Source organism: Homo sapiens, chromosome 15 (assembly GCF_000001405.40).
Source record: "Homo sapiens chromosome 15, GRCh38.p14 Primary Assembly".
Taxonomy (NCBI): Eukaryota; Metazoa; Chordata; class Mammalia; order Primates; family Hominidae; genus Homo; species Homo sapiens.
Genome location: NC_000015.10, coordinates 51383492 through 51402086, shown reverse-complemented (window position 1 = coordinate 51402086; position 18595 = coordinate 51383492). Strand labels below are relative to the sequence as shown.

General features: G+C 48.2%; 1 protein-coding gene across 11 annotated transcripts in view, besides 2 other annotated features; it reads right to left on the bottom strand.

Annotated features, from left to right (window-relative positions):
- GLDN (gliomedin) overlaps positions 1 to 18595 on the bottom strand; it is a 71711-nt gene that overhangs the window by 11279 nt on the left and 41837 nt on the right. For all 11 annotated transcript variants that reach the window (XM_017022125.1, NM_181789.4, XM_017022121.2 and 8 more), the window contains 6 exons: positions 18195 to 18302; positions 7106 to 7252; positions 4489 to 4617; positions 1812 to 1895; positions 1589 to 1714; positions 344 to 494 (listed from right to left, as the gene is read on the bottom strand). In XM_017022125.1, coding sequence (XP_016877614.1) covers positions 344 to 494; positions 1589 to 1714; positions 1812 to 1895; positions 4489 to 4617; positions 7106 to 7252; positions 18195 to 18302 — 745 coding nt within the window. The remainder of the gene's footprint in view (positions 1 to 343; positions 495 to 1588; positions 1715 to 1811; positions 1896 to 4488; positions 4618 to 7105; positions 7253 to 18194; positions 18303 to 18595) is intronic.
- Positions 10768 to 11623: an enhancer, noted in NCBI's record as "OCT4-NANOG-H3K27ac hESC enhancer chr15:51682661-51683516 (GRCh37/hg19 assembly coordinates)". NCBI's record gives its function as "activates a minimal SCP1, AML or CMV promoter by ChIP-STARR-seq in naive H9 embryonic stem cells {active_cell/tissue: H9 hESC(naive)}" and the evidence as "EXISTENCE:reporter gene assay evidence [ECO:0000049][PMID:30033119]".
- Positions 15488 to 15988: an enhancer, noted in NCBI's record as "H3K4me1 hESC enhancer chr15:51678296-51678796 (GRCh37/hg19 assembly coordinates)". NCBI's record gives its function as "activates a minimal SCP1, AML or CMV promoter by ChIP-STARR-seq in naive H9 embryonic stem cells {active_cell/tissue: H9 hESC(naive)}" and the evidence as "EXISTENCE:reporter gene assay evidence [ECO:0000049][PMID:30033119]".

Sequence of the window (18595 nt, the reverse complement as noted above, 5' to 3'; positions counted from 1 at the left end):
GCAGCACGTTCCACCAGGGGGAGCTATGAGTTCGGGCTGCTTCTCTCTCAGAGGATGGGGAAGCTGCGGCCGTCACCACTCCAGGTCTACTTCTCCCTGGCTCTGACCTTCCTCGGGCTGTCCAGACCAGCAACAAATGCAGACCCCAGGCAGGGGCTGGGCCATGGGGCTCACTAACATATCCTGTGATTCATTCAGTCGACAAACCCTGATTGACCTCAGTGTGTCAGCCCTAGGGACACAAAGATGATGAAAACACAGTCCCTACCCCTAATTGCTCACAAAAGCACCACAGCACAGGTGCTGCCTGAGAGGCGTGAGAAGGTGCTGTGGTGCGACTTACCTCACTAGGGTATTAGAACCCCCTTTGTGGTAGTAGAGAGAGTTGTTGTAAACAACGTGCCCACAGCCATGGAAATAGTATGGAAGGTGGATGAACGTGTAACTGCCATTCAGAAGTGAGGGCTGATCCTTGAATTCCTTAACCATGATGCCTGTAGGAGGGAAGCCAGGGAGAGGCTGTTACCTACCTCCAGCAATCACAGCTTGGGAGGGAGTCCTTGGGAGGAATTTCAAAGGCGGGAAGTTGAGAGTGAAATGTTCCCTAAGGTCCCTTGTCCAGTGTGAAGAGTCTAAGACTCCCAAGCTCAAAGTCCAATTCTCCATATGGATTTCTGAAATGTCTTTCAAATGTGGTAGGCATTGAACTGGCCTGGCTGCTCCTGGGAGAACTATGTATCACCCTCTCCCACCCCACTCTATACTGTTTATCAAACTCTCTATGAGAGTGGCATAGGCCTTCAACAGGAATAGCAGATACTTGGCGCTTGGGCAATCACCTCTTGCCTCCTCCCACCTCTTCCTGCACTGTGCAGCAGCCACTACTAATGAACAATATTACTTTCTTTTTGAGTCCCCGAATCCTGGTAATCTGGGCAGTTATTACCAGGTTCCCAATTGAATAACTGGCCTTGATGAAATAAAGAACTGATTTCTTCTCAGCTATTTCTCCAACCAGTGATTATGGCCAGACCCCTCCTTTAATGAGGCCGCTGTTACTACCACTAGCAATTCCTGACCACATCTCTTTGGGACAGTACAACTAGGGACCTGCTCAGATAGAGTGTGACTGCAAGGTGGAACTTCACCTTCTCCCTGGGCTCTCTGTCCAACAGGTGGCTGGGAAAGATGGCCAAAAGTACTCTTCTGGGAGGGCGGCAACCTTAGAGAAAGATGGATGGTGTACAAGGATTTCATCTCTGACATTTTTTTCCCATTATGGTTTGGAGGTTTATGAGGCCTGCAGTCATAATGCTATTTGTTTCCTTCTGGATACTTGTCCTAAAACAGGCGATATCTGGGTTACCCTCCTCATGCCCCTGTGACCTGAACTTCAAGGCTTGCCACCAGCATGTTCAAAGGAAGAAAGTTTTCTGCCCACTTATTGGTCTTTCTAAAATAAAGAGACATTTATTACACCAGCTACCGGGGATTTCAGACACACACAAATGGAATACGCCCAAAGGTAGGCAACAGATGAAAAATACAGTTACCACACAGATATGGGTCATAGGCCGAGTGCAAGTACCTGAAAAATGCTCTGTCACCCAAATCCGGTCATCACTCTTGTTAGCAGACTCTCTTATCCAAGTCCCAAATGTCTCTGTCACTTTCAGTACTTGCACTGGGTTTCCAATGGAAGTGATCATGGATTCTGCCAAAAGAAGAGAAAAGAAAGTCACTTGCCTGCCAATTATGACTTGAAGGTATTCAATTTCTGAATTTCAAGACAGGACGCTTTGTTTCTATACCTGCTTGTGGGGAATGGTGTTCACTGGCTTTCTCATCAGCTTTTCCAACCAAGGTATCATCATTTGGTATGGCACAAGTCTCACCTAAAATGACAACAATAATCATCAGAGCCGATACGGTTGGCACAGTGAGATTTGTTGGACTTTATAGCTGCTGCTCTTCCCCACCTCATTCCAGACTCTAGTCTCATAAACATCCCTTGCAATAGATCACCAGATTCCTTGGTTGCTTGCTTTCAAGCAACTCCAAATCATAGCCTTCCAAATTCTTCGCCCTGCTTGTTGAGTTCCCAGGAAGCTTTTCAGGAGTACAGTTGCTAAGATAATACAATCCCAAAAGGACGTCAGTAAAAGCAACAAAGTGGCCTGAGCCAGCCTGTTCAAGGCCTCAGCAATTTGGGGAAATGAGAGGCTTGCTGATGCCTTCCTGGCCTGTCTGGCAGGTGGCATCACTATCATGATTGCATTGTTCTGGAAGGATTTTCATTTTCAGGGAAGCTGGTGGAAGCTGTGAAGTAGCAGCCCCAGAGAATGGGGTGGTCCACTTTATGCAGCATCTTCCTGGGAGAGACATCAGGCAGGGAAACACCGATTTAGAGGAAGAAGTAATCTAGATTCCATCCAGCCTAGAGACATGGGAGTCCCCTCATGACCATTTCCCCACTGTCTCTGTCTAAGAGCCTAGAGAAACACAGGTCCTTGACAGGGGCCTGGTTCAATTTGGCTTGGGGCTACAGCTGAGCTGTGACTCATCCTCCTCAGGTTATCAGTGTCCCCCTTAATGAATGGGCTGAATTTAGACCTTTGGTGAAGAGGTGCCTTAGGGCAGCAGAAGCAAACCTGAGGGAGAGGAGGGAGGAGGATGAATGTGGCCAGGATGAAGAGGACAGGACATGGACTGAACCTCAGGCCCACTCAAATCCTGAGGGGTTCAAATCACCTTGTGGTTGCTTGATGGAAATCTTGAGGGTAATCTGAAGGGCTCCTTTATCAGTAAAATAAGGGAGCCCGACCCTCCATGATCTCTAAGCTTCCTTCTAGCTGGATAAGCCTGTGTTTCCCTGAAGTCCTTCTGTCACCTGATGAGAGTGGTGTCGGGGATCTGTTACAACTTCCCATGGGCAACCCTGCTGCCCCCGGAGTTTCAACTGGGGTTTCCACTTAGGGAACTACAGGGTATTAAAGATGTGGAGTTGGAGCAGGAGAGAGGGCCAAGTTCAGATGCAAATGCTTGGCAACCAAAGACTCCTTTCTAGGAGGCAGAATGGAAGATAATGCCTTTCATTTAAAGCCATTTTCCCTGCTCTGCATCCAGCCCCTGCCGATCCAGCCCCCTGGTAGATTAGGCTAAGCCCAGGAGACTGCTTCTCCAGACAAGGGCCGTCACTGGCTGGCAGAGCCTGTGGCAAATTAGAATTCTGCAAAAGCTCGGGTCAGAGCCCCCTTCTCTCAGGGGAGGTCTCGCTCAGTTCATTCTTCAAGGGAAGCTGAGCAAAGGGCCGATGCTAATGGCTGGGGAGGCACTGCACGGCAGCCCAGCAGAGGAGCAGCTGTGCCGTGGTCTCACATTGCAGAATTATAATCAGGCTCCACTGAGTTGGGGAGGGGGATGGTGCCATCTTCGAAAGCACAGATTCGCCCATTTTGACAGCTGACCGTGCGCCCCCAAACGTCTTCCAGAAAGAACAGTGCACCAAACAGAACTCAAGACTGTTTAGGAAAATGACAGCAATGGCCACAGCAAGGCTGAGAAATTCCAGTGAGGATCCTCCTTATGAGTGCCATTGAGGAGATGGCCGCAAGTGGCCCTCCTCATAGTTTCAGTTAGATGACGGATCCTAGGTCACCCCTTTGGGAGAGAAGTCCTAGCATCACCCTAGAAGTATTTTCCATTAATAAAATCCTTGATTTCCAGTTAGCTTTCAACCCTGTGGCCACTGTGCCACAAATTGGCTAAAGAACAAGTCCACCAGAGGTCAAGTATTCCTTGCTCTTGGTTGGCTTGACCTTGGGTCAGGTCTCAAAGTGTGAATTTCTATCTAAATGGAAGATGCCCTGAGAGCTGGGACTTTACAGTTAGGCAGAGCTGGGTTTGAATCGTAGCTCCGCCACTTACTCCTGGAGGGACCTTGGGCAAGTTCCTTAGCTCTTTGGGGTATCAGTTTTATTAGCTGTAAGTTGGACACAATAATGATTTCAATATCATAGGATTGTTGTGAGAATTAAATAAGCACATAGCCCTGTGCCTGGCTTAATGTAGCACTGTTGTTACTATTCGTGAGGACCTAACCAATCCAAACTTCCCCTTCATCTCCTGAGCATCATTCAAGCTTCTCACTTCTCAAGAGTGCAAAAAGTTAGCAGCTTAGCTTTCCATACTGTTTCAGGGGGGAGGGATGGCGGACAGAGCAAGGAGGAGGACTGGTCTGCTGGTAAATGAAGGAAGCAGAAGGAGGGAAGGGGAGTGGGAGGCCTAATTCTAAAACTGTCCCTGGTCCTCAGCCCTGGGGCAGACTACAAAGAACTCCTGTGAGAAGTTTGCAAGAAGGGAACTTTCATTTTGGACAAAACCCTCCTCCCTCTATTAAAACAAATCTGGTCACAGAGCCTGGGGAGCAGACCAAGAGTTTGGAATAATTGACAGAAGAGGTGGGCCCCGTAGGGGAGAGGTGGTGACCTGGGCACTGGCCGTTGAACATGCTTGGCTGCCGAGGGCCTTTGGCTCTTCTGCTTCCAGGGGGCCCTGGAGGACCTGGAGGGCCTGGGGGCCCAGGTGGACCGGGTGGGCCTTGGTCACCTTTGGCACCTGGAGAGAGAGAGAGAGAAAGGGAGAGAAGGAGGCAAGAGGTAGAAGGGGGAAGGGGAGAGAGGGACAGAGAAGGGGAGAGAAGAAGAGAGAAAGGAGAGAGGGAAGGAAAGGGGAGGGAGGGAGGGAGGGAGGAACAGAGAAAGGGAGGGAGGAAGAGAAGAAGGGAGAGAGGGTGGGAAGAAGGGAAGAGAGTAGTCAGCTAAGGTCTCTTTAGCTGCCTCCTCACAGCCAGACCTTTTCATTCTCTCTACAAGTGGACAAGTGGGGCCACAGAAGCTGGAGGCAGCTCTCTGTCCACCAGGAAGGGGCAGAGATCTGCAGGCAGAGCAGATGTGGCCCAACCTCCTACGCCCTCTCCACTCTCCTCCAGGGGACACCCTCTGCTCTGACCTGGTCTTTTCAATTGGGGTTCATAAGGGATGGTGCTTTTCTGAAGGGTTTGTCATCACCCCTCACTTGGTCAGCAGCATGGAGGAACATGGTACTCTGGATGTGTAGATTTCCTACGTAACAGAAGTGTAATAAAATTTTATATTTTTCAAACACATTTATGTATATTACCCTGTCAAAACACGTCTTAAATTATACATGTTTTGCATAGCAACATCTGCTGTTAATGAAACAAAATGTACTAAACCCAGTTCAATCTTTCCTTGATACGTGGGTCGAAGCACAGTGCCTGGTAAACAATAGGCACTCAATCAAGTCTGAATGGATGGATAGACGGTTGGATGGGCAACTGATTCAGGGTCATTATTCTGAACATTTAGCATCATCCTAGCTTCCTGAGGACAGATAAGTCTTCCTCATTTCCAGCTACTAGCAAAGTCTCTGATTCAGAAATGGTGTTCTCTGGTATTTGCTAAATCTTTACTGACTATATAGTTATGTTCACATGTTATATTTTTATCATATAGGTGATCTCCAAAGTACTGTGCTTTAAAAATTCTTCTGCCTCCTGCTCCTCCATGAGAGTCAGCTGTCACCTGCTCTTTCCTCTGTGCTATTGTCTTTGTGGCTTTCTGCCCCTTACCCTCTTCTCCCACAAATACCAACTGTCTGCTTTTCCCCTGAGCTGGAAAAGCAGCCACTGTATTTGTAGGGGAAATGCCCCTGATGGCAATAACTGAAGTGTATCCTTAGAATGATCCTGGATGGCAGATGCATCTGAATGTCTGCTCAGAGCTAGGGAATCTGGGAGTTGCCAACCCAGAGCTTTGTTCTTTGTTTTGAGGAACATCTGCGCCCCTGGCCCATCCCACGGAACAGGGGCCGTGCAGGCAATTAGGGCCCTGAGTTTTGGGTTAAGTTAAGGTTGCCAGGTGGAGGTGGTTAAGGGGAGGGGGCTGATGTGGTGTGGATATCCCACCCAAATCTCATGTTGAATTGTAATCCCCAGTGTTGGAGGTGGGGTCTGTGGGAGGTGTTTGGATCATGGAGGCAGAGCCCTCATGAATGGCTTGGGTCATCTCCTTGGTAATAAGTGAGTTATTGCGAGATTCGGTCATTTAAAAGTGTGTGGCACTTCACACCCCACTCTTGCTCTCTCTCTCTCACTCCTACTCTCGCCATGTGATGTACCTGCTCCCCCTTCACCTTCTGCCATGATTACAAGTTTCCTGAGGCCTCTCCAGAAGCTGAGCAGATGCCAGCATCATGCCTCTTGTACAGCCTACAGAACTATAAGCCAATTAAACCTTTTTTTAAATATATAAATTACCCAGTCTCAGGTAATTTATAGTAATGTGAGAACAGACTAGTACAGGTGTTAAGCGAAAATGCCAGGTAAATTGCATGCTGTTTGCAAGTGGCTGCTCAGTCCACCGCCCCTGGGCTGCACGTAAGAGAGTTAGCTCATCTAGCCCAAGGCCCCTGGGCTGTTTTTGTCCTAAAGTGGTTCTCCTGTCCAGCCTGCCACCACTGGACTCTCTCCTCTCTATGAAGCCCCCAGTAAAGCCCCATGTCACATTTGCTGGCCCTGGGTCTCTTCTTTGGCTCTTGAATCTGTTGCCATCCCTACTGAGGTCGACCAGGGCTTGGCACAACAATATTTTGCCCCAATTCTAAGAAAAAAGGCCATTAGGATCAGGGTCTGAGGATGGCTCAACCTCATCAGTGAAGCAAACGCTTGTGCTTCCTGTCAGTTGTCCTCTGAGGTGTCGTAAGTTGCCTGCTTACTTGTCTTATTCTGGATTGTGCTGGATTTCAATATATCTTGGAAAAGAAATATTGAAATTGGGTCATGGCTTTTAGACCCAATTACCTGAACCACTTATACTTAGATCCCAGATCTGGTCTTGCCACATGGAGTAACATGCTCATGTTTCTCCTCTTTGAAAGCATAGAACTCCAAAACATGCTGCAAAACAGATGGCCACATAAGGCCATAAAGGAGAGAAGACACAGGAGCAGCCCTGGTGTTGGAAGCCAGGCAGTTCTCTGGGCGCACAAGCCCTCAAAGAGAGCCACAGCGTACCCCTCTTACCTGCCAGGAGCACGTCGTTGGACACATCTCCTTTGTCACCCTTTTCTCCCTTCTGCCCTGGTGGGCCCTCATTTCCCTGCAGGCCCAGTTCACCATGGTCTCCCTTTTCTCCCCTTTCCCCTGGATTTCCTGCAGCTCCAGGTATCCCTGACCAAAAAAACAAAAGACATATTAGCCTATGGTGCAAAAAGTTCTGGCACACCACTTTATATTACTGTGCTTTGTGCTTTCCAGGGAAGCAGTTTTATATACCAAACACACAGCATTTCATAACCATTTTAGAGCAGCAGTGTGACCATACGTTCATTAAAGAACAGCATTTCCAGGTGGCTCTGCTGGATTATTTATTTATTTATTTATTTATTTATTGAGATGGACTCTGGCTCTGTCACCCAGGCTGGTGTGCAGTAGCGCGATCTCGGCTCACTGCAACCTCTGCCTCCCTGGTTCAAGCAATTCTCCTGCCTCAGCCTCCGGAGTAGCTGGGATTATAGGCGTGAGCCACCACACCCATCTAATTTTTGTATTTTAAATAGAGACAGGGTTTTGCCATGTTGACCAGACTGGTCTTGAACTCCTGACCTCAGGTGATCCGCCTGCCTCGGCCTCCCAAAGTGCTGGAATTACAGGTGTGAGCCACTGCTCCCGGCCTGCTGGATTATTTTTAGAGAAATTTGGCTGAGCCAACAGGTTGGAGAGAGGAGTGAACCACAAGAGGGGGCGATGGCAGCAACAGTGGAAAGAAGGTAAGGAAGGCCTAATGAGAAGTCTGCAACCATGATGCTCAGAGGTGTGTGTCTGCTGCCATAATAGTGAGTGTTAAATACATTATTTAGTTTATTCCTCACAACATATTGGAGTGGTAGGCTAGGCAGTCATCCTTACTCTCATTTTATAGATATTGAAACTAAGGCCTACAGTGGTTATAACAGATGCTGCCAAGTCAGAGAGCAAAGCACCTCTGATTCCATCTCCAATGCCCTTTTCTGTGACATTCCAATGCAAAATACTTTCAATCACAATAGCAAAACAGGTAAAGTTGCTTTAAGACAACCATTAATAGGGATGGTGAACAAAAGGTAGTGGGTGAAATTTCTGCCTCTGTTCACAGGGAGCTGTGACTACAGAAATTGCTGTCCTCCGCACATTGCTAGAAACCAGTCAAGGTCTAAGTAACAGCTTGTGTCAGCCTTGGACCCTGAGCAGTGAAAGCACCCTTGGATTGTCCCAGTTCACTGCTGGGAGGTAGTTCCCAGTGGCACAGGGAGAAGGATCTCAAATAGCCTGTCAATCTCACTAAGTTGAGGGGCCAAAAATCAGAGTTTGGGGAGAAGGAGACGGCTAGAATTTGCAAGATAGAAGAGCAGAGAGGAGACAGCTGCGTGAAACAGCCCTGCAGATCTGCAGAGGGCTCCCTTGAACCTGTGACTGAAGGATGACTTCTACACATGAGGGAATTCCAGAGGGCTGGGAAAGGAATTCACAGACTGTTCACTATAAAATTATCAGGGCTCACACAGGAAAAAGTCCTCATTCCCACGGCCACCATGGGGAAATCTCATCAAATACTGAATACTGGGTAGAGTCCTTGAAAAAGTCTAGTTTTAGTAGTGGGGCTAAATTAGCCCCAGGTTAAAGGCTGCGGTGGACCCATCATTACAAAGTTTCAACACAAGTTTCTAAAGGATGAAACCTAACTGCCAGTGATTTAACTGCCTGACTCTGTGCCTGCTGAGAGTCCAAAATTTGAATCATTCAGTTCATGTAACTCAGCATATTAGCAATTTAACCAAGAAAAATTATATGATCATCTCAATGATATAGAAAAGGCATTTGATACAATTTAGCACCCATTCTTAATTTGTCAACAAACTAGGAATAGAAGAGAACTTCCTCAGTCTGGAAAAGGACATCTACAAAAAAACCTACAGCTAACATCATCCTTAATGGTGAAAGACTGAATGTTTTCTCCCTAATATCAGAAACAAGATAAGGGTATCTAACCCTATCACTTTTATTTAACATTCTACTGGAGGTCCTAGCCAGTGCAATAATGCAAGGAAAAATAACTAAAAGGCATACAGATTGGAAAGGATGAAGACCGTTTGCAGATGTCATGATTGTTTATGTAGAAAATCTCAAGGAATCTATAAAAAGGCTACTAGAACTCTTGAGTATACAGTTATACAGGGTCCTTGAGAGGGGAAGTTGTTTCTAATACTGTACAAAGCTATTGCCAGATATGGATCAATTAACGTGATACCCCACAGTTCACACCCAAATGCCCTGCATTGCTATCAGATTAATTATTCCCTAAAACAGTGGTTCCCAACCTTTTTGGCACCAGGGACTAGTTTTGTGGAAGACAATTTTTCCATAGACCGGGGTGTGGGGAGGGATGGTTTGGGGATGATTCAAATGCATTGCATTTATTGTGAATTTTATTTCTATTATTACATTGTAATATATAACAAAATAATTATACAACTCACCATAATGTAGAATCACTGGGAGCCCTGAGCTTGTTTTCATGCAACTAGACAGTCCCATCTGGGGGTGATGGGAGACAGTGACAGATCATCAGGCATTAGATTCTCAATAGGCTTTGCACTCCTATGAGAATCTAATGCTGCTGCTGATCTGAAGGGAGCTCGGGCGGTAATGTGAGCACTGGAGAGTGGCTGTAAATACAGATGAAGCTTTGCTCAATCATCTGCCGCTCACCTCCTGCTGTACGGCCCAGTTCCTAACAGGTCATGGACCGATATGGGTCTGGGGGCTGGGGACCCCTACCCTAAAACGTAAACCTGGAGCTCTTAGCACCTTTCATTTACCCCAGAGGAGTAATAAATATTCAAAATGGTTTCTGCTCTTCCATATTCATGTTCATATTCCATATTCAAGGAACTGTCTGCAGACTATTCTAAGGAAGACAGCAGTGCATGGAAAAGCCTCAAAGTGTCGATCACTGTTAGAAGAAAACTGTAGTGAACAAAAACAATTTGCTAGATTTCAACCAACCAATAAAAAAAAACCTTAGTGAAAACTATGAAATTCAGCTACAGTTGGGAATCAGAAGCCCCAGGGTCCTCACCACTACCAGTGGTAAGCTTGGGTGGCGGCTGCCCGTCCAGTGGAACTGGGGGAGCACAGTAGAAGAGGATGTGAAGAGGAGCAGGGGGCCCCTCCACTGTCAGCACTGGCTGTGCCATGGATTCAGTGATATGGGGGTCAAATCATGCCTCTTTGAGGGGTTATGGCTTGTAATACCTCCCTCACAATAGCACCAAAATCCCATTGCATTGACTCCTCCGGGCCCTCAGTCATCAGGCCATCTTGGTGGAAAGTGGTTCACTCACTTGAGAAGAGCCCTTCTGCCCGGCCCTCTTTGTGAGAAGACGTTCTTTTGTCAGTGTTTTAAATAGGCAATTTGGCACATTATCTGAAGGAGACAAAAAACGAGGGCATTGCCATAGAGTCCAGCCTGCACAGTGCACCAAGTGTAACTGACACCTTCGAAAGGTCTCACATGACCCAGTTTTAGCAGTGCTCAGGGAAAGGGTATCTGCTGGTTCCTGCAAGGATATCTTTTTCAGGCATTTATTCTAGTCACAAACAGCCTTCTGCATCATCATCTTATTTCCCCTTCCTTTCTTTTCTTTCTTCCTCTTATGTCTTTTCTTTCTCGGAAAGGCCATATGTGAAACAGGGAAATGTTCCTGCTGCCTGGCAGCTGTTGTAATGCGCCCCCCACAGGGTCAGGTATTTAACACTATTCAAGGCCTTTGCTTGAGGCTGTAGTTTTACTGTGGTTGGGAAATGCATGATCATTTTATGGCTTTCATTAAGAAAGGGTTGGGGGACATTTTGTCTACATAGAGTCTGCCTTTGCCCTCTTGTCCACTATAGTGCTGACAAAGCATCCCCTCGTCTTTGTCAGTAAAATTGCCCTGGCTGTGCTTTCGCCGTGATATGTCAGAAATTAAATATCACCTAGTGATTCACCATCAGGAACCTGTGTGTGGCATTTTCTACCCTGCCCTGTCCCAGGGAAGGTCAGGGATGCTAGCCGTGCACAGTGACACTATGACACTATGTGATCTGGACCCCTGGCTGGCTTTGAGTTGGCACATTCTGCCAGAGAAGAAAGGCCGGACTCTGCCTGTGTAACTTGTGCTAGGAGTGGCTCTCTACTGTTTTTCTCTGGTGTCGCCCACTCAAAACAAACAGTTTCATCAGCATTTGAGTTTGGAGTTGTGTGATATCTCGGGGTTGAGGTCAACTCTCATCTTCACAACATGGGGTGAGGGAGGATGTTTTATTTTCAGCAGTATCATTTGTTGCTAAGGCGGGGGAAAGGGGCCAGAGAGTGTCACACAAAACCCAGTCCTGAGACACAAATACGGAGGAGGGCTTTCATTTCTGTTTTTATAAGAATTTCACTTTTAGAGAAGATACTGCAGCATTAACTCTTAAGTGAGAAAATGAGAGGCAGCTGGAAGGAAAGAAACTGCTTGCTTTTGAGGCAATGGAACATCAGACTTCATAGAAGATGCTGGTTGCACAATTGACATTTAGGTCTCTTTCAGTTCTGACTCTTCTCTTCAGATCTAAGTTAGTGTTTCCAAATGAATACAGAACACTTCCACTTAGATTTCCTTTTGGTCTAAAATAAAGTTTCTCCTTCCCGACTTTTGAAAACAACAACAATAATAGCTAACACCAGTATAGCACTTACAATGTGTCAAGCCCTCTTCTAAGCACTTTATATACATTAACTCATTTAATCTTCCTAATAACATTATGAGGTTAATACTATTATTGTCCCCATTTTGCAAATGAGGAAATTGTGGCACAAAGTGATAACTTGCCCAGGGGCATACAGCTAGTAAGCGGAAGAGCCGAGACACAAACCATCTGGCTCCAGCTCTGGCTCTGAGCTATTCCACTAACATTCTTAGCTTTTCTAAGGTCAGAACCTGAGAAGCTTTGATGTTTCAGTCTCCTGGAAGCAACCGTTAGGCTACAGAGCTTAAACTCTGGCTTTATCAGGGTAGTCTTATAATGGCTCCTGGTTGCCTCCTGCATATGTGGAGCTGAACCCCCTGACCTTACTTTGAAGGCCATTACCCTCTAGTCCTAGCCCAATCTAGCCAGGGTCCCCACTAGTACCCAGGGGTAGCCTCATAACCTGTGAGCCTAGGCCTTTCTGTTCTCTCCCTGCGGTTAATGCTGCTGCAGTTACCGTCTCGAAAAATCAAATTCTCATAAAAAACAGAAATGAAAGCCCTCCTTATTCGTGTCTTGGGACTGGGCCCTGTTCCCCCGCCTTTCCCACCGCTCCTCTACTTATCTCCAAAGTGCTGATCACTCTTCTCTCTCGTCCTTTATGCTTAGTTCTGCTGCACAATCCATCCTCTGCAAATAGGATCCTCTGCACAGTATCCTATTTGCTCATCTTCTGCACAGGGAAGTTTGGCTTTTTCTTCTGGCAGTATTGCCTCCTATGAAGTATAGAGCAGTCTTCCAACCAGAATAAATAGTTACTGAGTACCTGCTGTTGCACGATATATCTTCTCTTTCAACTGGATTGTAAGCCCTTATATACAGACACAATGTTCTAGTCTTCTCATTCATTCATTCATGCATGCATTCATTAATTCATTCTCATTCATCAATTATTTATTGGGCCTTAGCTGGGCCCTAGCTAAGAGATGTCATGAATAATAAAATCTATAATACATAGTCCCTGCCTTCATTGACCAACACTATAGTGGAGTATTTAAAACCAGAAACCATATTAGAGTTGTCATAACCCAACCTCTTCTGGCTACAGATGAGGAGGTCAAGGCCTCATCTTGGAGTGACTTGCCCAGGGCCTCAGGGCCAGTAAGGGGTAAAGGCAAGAGCTACTAGAACTCCTTTCACCGTTCCCCTCTGCCTTGAAGGCAGGGAATGAGAGGGACAAAAATCAACTGTCTCTGACTGGCAGGTTATACTCATTGAACTGTGTGTTCTCAACAATGTCCTGCAGGCCTCTCTGAAAGGCTGGAACCCTCCCAGCCCTCCCAGGAAGACTCAGCCTTGGAGCTCAGATTGGAGCGTGTCTGAAGCCCTATATTCTCAATCGTTAACTGCACCAGCGCTCAGGGCCCAGGCTTCTTTCCTGTTCGCTCTTGCTCTTCGGCACCTCCAATAACCCTGCTCTCACAACAGGGCCCAAGCCCCTTGAGCACGCAAATTGAGTGTCACTGTGGTTAAGAGCAGGTGTCCAGAAGTCAGAGAAACCTGGATTCAAGTCCTGCCTCCTCCACTTATTAGCTTTTGACATTAGACAAGTTATATCCAGTCATTCAACAATGAATTTATTGAGCTCCTTGGCTGTGTGTTCCAGGCACTGAAGGTAGGAACTAAGCAAGACAGACATGGCCAAGCTCTCACAGGCCTCACATTCTGCTTGGGGAGTCAGCCCATCAGCACAACAGCAAATAGTCCCTATGGGGTAATTTCAGGAAGGGATATTTCGATTGATTGCGCTTGGGGAGTCAGACCATTAGCACAACAGCGAATAATCACCAGGGGGTGATTTCAGGGAGGGATCAATATTTTGATTGATTCCACTTGGGAGGTCACACCATTAGCGCAATAGCAAATAATCACCGTGGGTCGATTTCAGGGAAAGATCAATATTTTGATTGATCCCACTTGGGGAGTCAGACTGTCAGTACAACAACAAATAATCACCATGGGGTGATTTCAGGAAGGGGTCAATATTTCAAAAGAGCAGGGGATGTGACAGAGTAGGTGAGACAGGGGCTAGACACAGAGGCCAAGGATGATCTTGTATACGAGGTGACATCTGAGCTAAGACCTGCTCAGGAAGACAGGGGAAGTCAGGAAGAGGGCATTCTGGGCAGTGGGCACAGGCCACTATGTCCTAGTCCCACCCCAGTCTACTCTGGGTCCCTAGCAGTACTCGTGCAAAGGTCCTGGGGCAAGGGTGAGCTTGGCCTGTTTGAGAAAGAGAGAAGTATCTTCATCTGGAAAAAATATGGCTAACAAAAGTATTCATGCCCTTGGGTTGTTCTGAGGACTAGATGAGCTGAGTGTACGGAGACCTTAGTGGAGTGTCCGGCAGTAAATGCTGGCTATGTATTATGGTTCCAAAGGTTGTTGCTAGAGGGCACACCCCACCCTAAATGGGTCCCTAACTCAATAGAACACAGGCTTTTTTCCTTTTCTTGGAAACAACACTTGTTCCCTTTTTGTGGAATGCACTCCCACACCTCTCCTATGCCACCCCTGCCTGGCAAACCACGAATGATCCTTTAACTCTCAGTTTAAATGACAGCCCTTCCTTCTCTACAGTCACAGCAATGGCCTGGAAGGTTGCGTACCCACGTGAGGACCTGCAGTGCCATCCTGGGAGCTGGCTGCTCATCCAAAAGCTCTGGAAAGGCCTAGGGCCAGCCTCCAACCTCGCCTGGCTGTGTGACCGCACCCTCTGTGTGCGCCAGGCCCTCCCTTCTCATCTGGCCAAAGCTGTTACCTCCCTGCCCTCCCTCTCTATCACTGTACCTCAGAGCACCTCGTTCTTCCCTTCAAACATACATCTCATGTTGAGATGGTAGGTGGATATGGCTGTTGACTGTGGATGTTGGCCTCTCCACCAAAGATGGAAAGTTCCAGAACAGTGCCTGTGTCTTTTGTAGTTCCCCAATAGCACTCGACATCTGCTGAATAAGTATTTGTTGATGAACGTCCCCACCCTCTCCTGGTGCTCGTCTTGCTGCTCAGTCCCCTCCTCAGTCTCCTTTGCTGACTCATCCCCTTCTACTTTGTCACCTGAGGTTGGAGCTTCTCAGGGCTGAAACCCAGCCCCTCCTCTCCTGCCAAGCTCTCTCCCTAAGTGACTTCACCCCTGCCCACATGCCCAGGTGCCTCAATGACTCCCTGATATATACATCTCACCCCAGGCCTCTTTTGACTACAGACCTGTTTTCCAAGGCCACTGCCCCACCTCCTCCTGTATACTTCAGGGCATCTGAAACTCAGCACATCCCATGCGGAGTCCACGATTGTCCCTTTAGATCTGAGTTGAGTGCGGGGCTCCCCACCTCAGGCAGGAGCAGCTTACCCATCCATCCAGTCGAGCATGACAGCAACCTTAGGGTCAGTCTTGATGCCTACCTGACCCCCAACTCCCTGTATCCACTGTCCACTGGGAACTGCTGGCTTCACCCCTAAATATCACTTATCCCTGTGGGTCTTTCCGCCCCCGCCCGCTGTCCCCCGCCTACGGAGGCCGTCTCCCTGCCTCTACTCTGGCTCATTCGCCTGCCGGTTCCAGTGCGCTCTCCATGCAGCAGCCACAGCAGCATTTAGAGAAGCAGATCTGATCCCATCACTGTCTCCCACTTGACGGCCCTCTGGGGCTTCTCATGGCCCTCAGAAGGAACCCTGTTGCCCTCAGTGGCCCTGCTGCCTCTGGTCCCTCCTCCCTATCCCTTTCCTGCAAGTGCTGGGTATGAAGGGAATCTGTCCCAGGGCTCAGGAGTGGGTGAGGAGGGAAAGTGCAGCCTCGGGGCCTCAGCAGTGTGAACAGGACAATGTGGCTCTCGCTCTGCAGCCTGAGCTGGCCCATGAAGTGAGCGATCCCATCGAGCTGGGCTCTTCAGATAGCCTTTGGTGGTTAGTCTCCCACTTCCCCTGGCCTGGGACAATGAACTCCTCATGGGGGCCTCGGGGACTCAACTTCCACTCTCAGTATGAGTGGAGGCTTCGCGGTCTAATGCTGCTGACCTCCGCAAGCCTTACTCTCTGGGAGATTGCTGTAGAGAAGGGTGTCTTTGCTGCAGTTCCTATGAGATCTCCCAGAAACCAAGGATTGGGGTCACCCTCCAGTGACAAACAGAATCCAACACCTTCTCCCTTCTCTGCTGCTGTCCTCTGCTCCAGCCTCTTCCCTTCCCTCCTATAGCCTCTCAGCACAGCTGTCAGGCCATCCTCTCATCCATATGTCAGGCATAGCACTGTTCCACTTCACATCCTCCCCGTTTTTCTCTGAGTACAAATCACAGTTCTTAAAATGCCCAGGGCTGACCTGATTTGGCCTGGTTACCTCTCTGATCTCAACTAGGCTAGGTTAGCTACTCATCCCTTCTGTCCAGCTGCCCTGGCTTCCTTGCTGCTCCTTAAACTGTCCAGGTACCCTGGTGGCTTACACACTCTGCCCAGAGCCCTCTGCCCCAGAAACCCTGAGACCCTCTTTTACCTCCTCTTGGTATTTGCTCAAAGGTCCCTTCTGAGGGAGGTCTTACTTGGCCTCCCAATCTAAATGTACCACCTCTAACCCCACATAAATTTCCCACCCCTTTCTATGATATTTTTTCTCCTCAGCATTTATCACCATGGAACAGACCATATATTCTATTTATTTATCTTATTTATTATCCGTCTCTCCCAGCTAGGATGTAAGCCTCGTGAAGGTGGAGGAGGGGGGCTTATTTCTGAATCTCCAGCATCTAGAATGGTACCTGCCACACAAATATGTGCTCCATAAACAAATGCACTTTTTCTTTTCTGCACTCCCTGGGTTGCAGGCTGCATGCGAAGCACATCCTCAAGGCCAGGGATCTGTCTCAAGCCTTTTTGAAAACCACCCCTTTCCTACGTGCCCCACACCCAGCTCTAGCAGGGTGCCCTCCTGCCCCTGAGCCTGCCCTCATCATGCCCATTGCCGAGGCCTCAGGACTGAATCACATTTTTGGAGTCTTCCCAGGATAAGCCAATAGGCATCATTATTCTACAGCGATGCTCATGTATAATTATAATTATTATCCTATATGAACGATCCATTGCTGCTGTGTAATTCCAATGGTAATTACTGGCCTTCTGAGGATTGAGCTGGCTTGGACGGTGTGTGCCCGTTTTCTCTGAAGCTGCCCTCTGGAACACAAGCAGGTAGGCACTGCCAAGTGTCAGAGGTGCTCGACAATTTTTCCCTCTCCACTGGCCCTTACTTCAATTGCTAATGAGAATAAGAGTGGAGGTGACCAAAGGAGTAATTGCTGTCTGGAAGAATTTTCTACCATTTCTTCTCGTCCAGGGCCAGTCCAAGTGAGTTTGGGTAGCAGAGCCAAGAGGTTGAAAATAAGATGGTGCAGTGGAGTCTCCGGCTGAAAACAACCTCCCTCTGCCCTCAGCAGTGGCTTTGACGGGTGGCTGAGAGCCAGGCCTTCGTAGGAGCCTCCTGAGTAGTTTCTTACCCTCTGTCTTTGAGCTCCCACCACAGCATGTGCCAGCTTTCTTCAGGTGGATCTGCCCTGACCCCGGCTCCCCAGGACTGGTGCTCAGAGCCCTTCAGAATCTTCCCCTTTGTGCCCCAGCCTCCTGCCAGGCCCTGCACCAGCCCCTGATTCTTACTGCTCCCTGGGCACATCTCGTGCCTTGGTGCTTCTGGGCCTTTTCTCCAGTGGTGATGGCCTGCTCATAACAGGGCAAAGGAAGCTCCTCCGAGATGCCAGCCATATCTTCATAGTTATCCTGTAGCCCCTGAAGAGGAGACCCTTTGACCTGAGTGCCGGCCACAGGGAGGCCAGGATGCTGCCTTTCCACTCAAGCAGTTTGAGCTATTCCTCTAGCCAAGAAATGCCTTACCAGGGGCCAACATCAGTTCATTGATTTTCAACCAAACACAGATTCGCTGGGCAGGAGGAGGCAATAGAGGGCAAGGCAGGAGCTGAGCCTCGAAAGAGCATGCACCAGCACCAGCTGTCACACGGCCCACAGAATGCCCCTCCCAGGGCTGTGGGCTCCTGCTCCTTCCACCTCCCATCTGCAGCAGAAGGGTGCGAGTCAGTTCCCAGGAGACGGCTTCTCCAGTTTGAAATAAACATCTGTCAAGGTGGGACCAAGAAGTATACCCTTGGTATCCCGGAACGCAATGGCTTCTAGGTAAGAGTTAAACCGGCCTTAAACTGTGCAGAGATGAAACACCTTACCCCTGCTGCACACAGTTTTAGTCGACCCAAATGCAATCATGGAGATAAATAACAGGGAAATTAATTAGAAGAGTTGCCAAAAATACCCATTTTTCCTCTTTTTCCATTTGCTCCTTTTTCTCCTTTTGGGCCCTGAGGACCAGGCTGTCCATCCAATCCGTTGTGTCCTGGCAACCCGCCGGCTCCCGGAGGTCCTGCATCAAAACACAGAAACAGGGACATTAACCAAAAAAAAAAAAAAAATTATTCACTGAAGTTACTGTCATTTCCTTTACCAGTGAAACTGAGCAGGCATCAATTCCTTTTCCACATCCTTTCCCACTTCTTTCCTTCCTTCTCTGGCTGAAGCAGTGCCAAGTGGGGGGATGGTGATGGCAGAGCCTCAGGTGAGGGGCACAAAGAAGGAGACACACAGCCAGGACTGCCTCCAGGCTCTTGCCCTCCCCGCATCTGTCCCAACAGGGAGATCCTAGGGTCTGGCCACCCA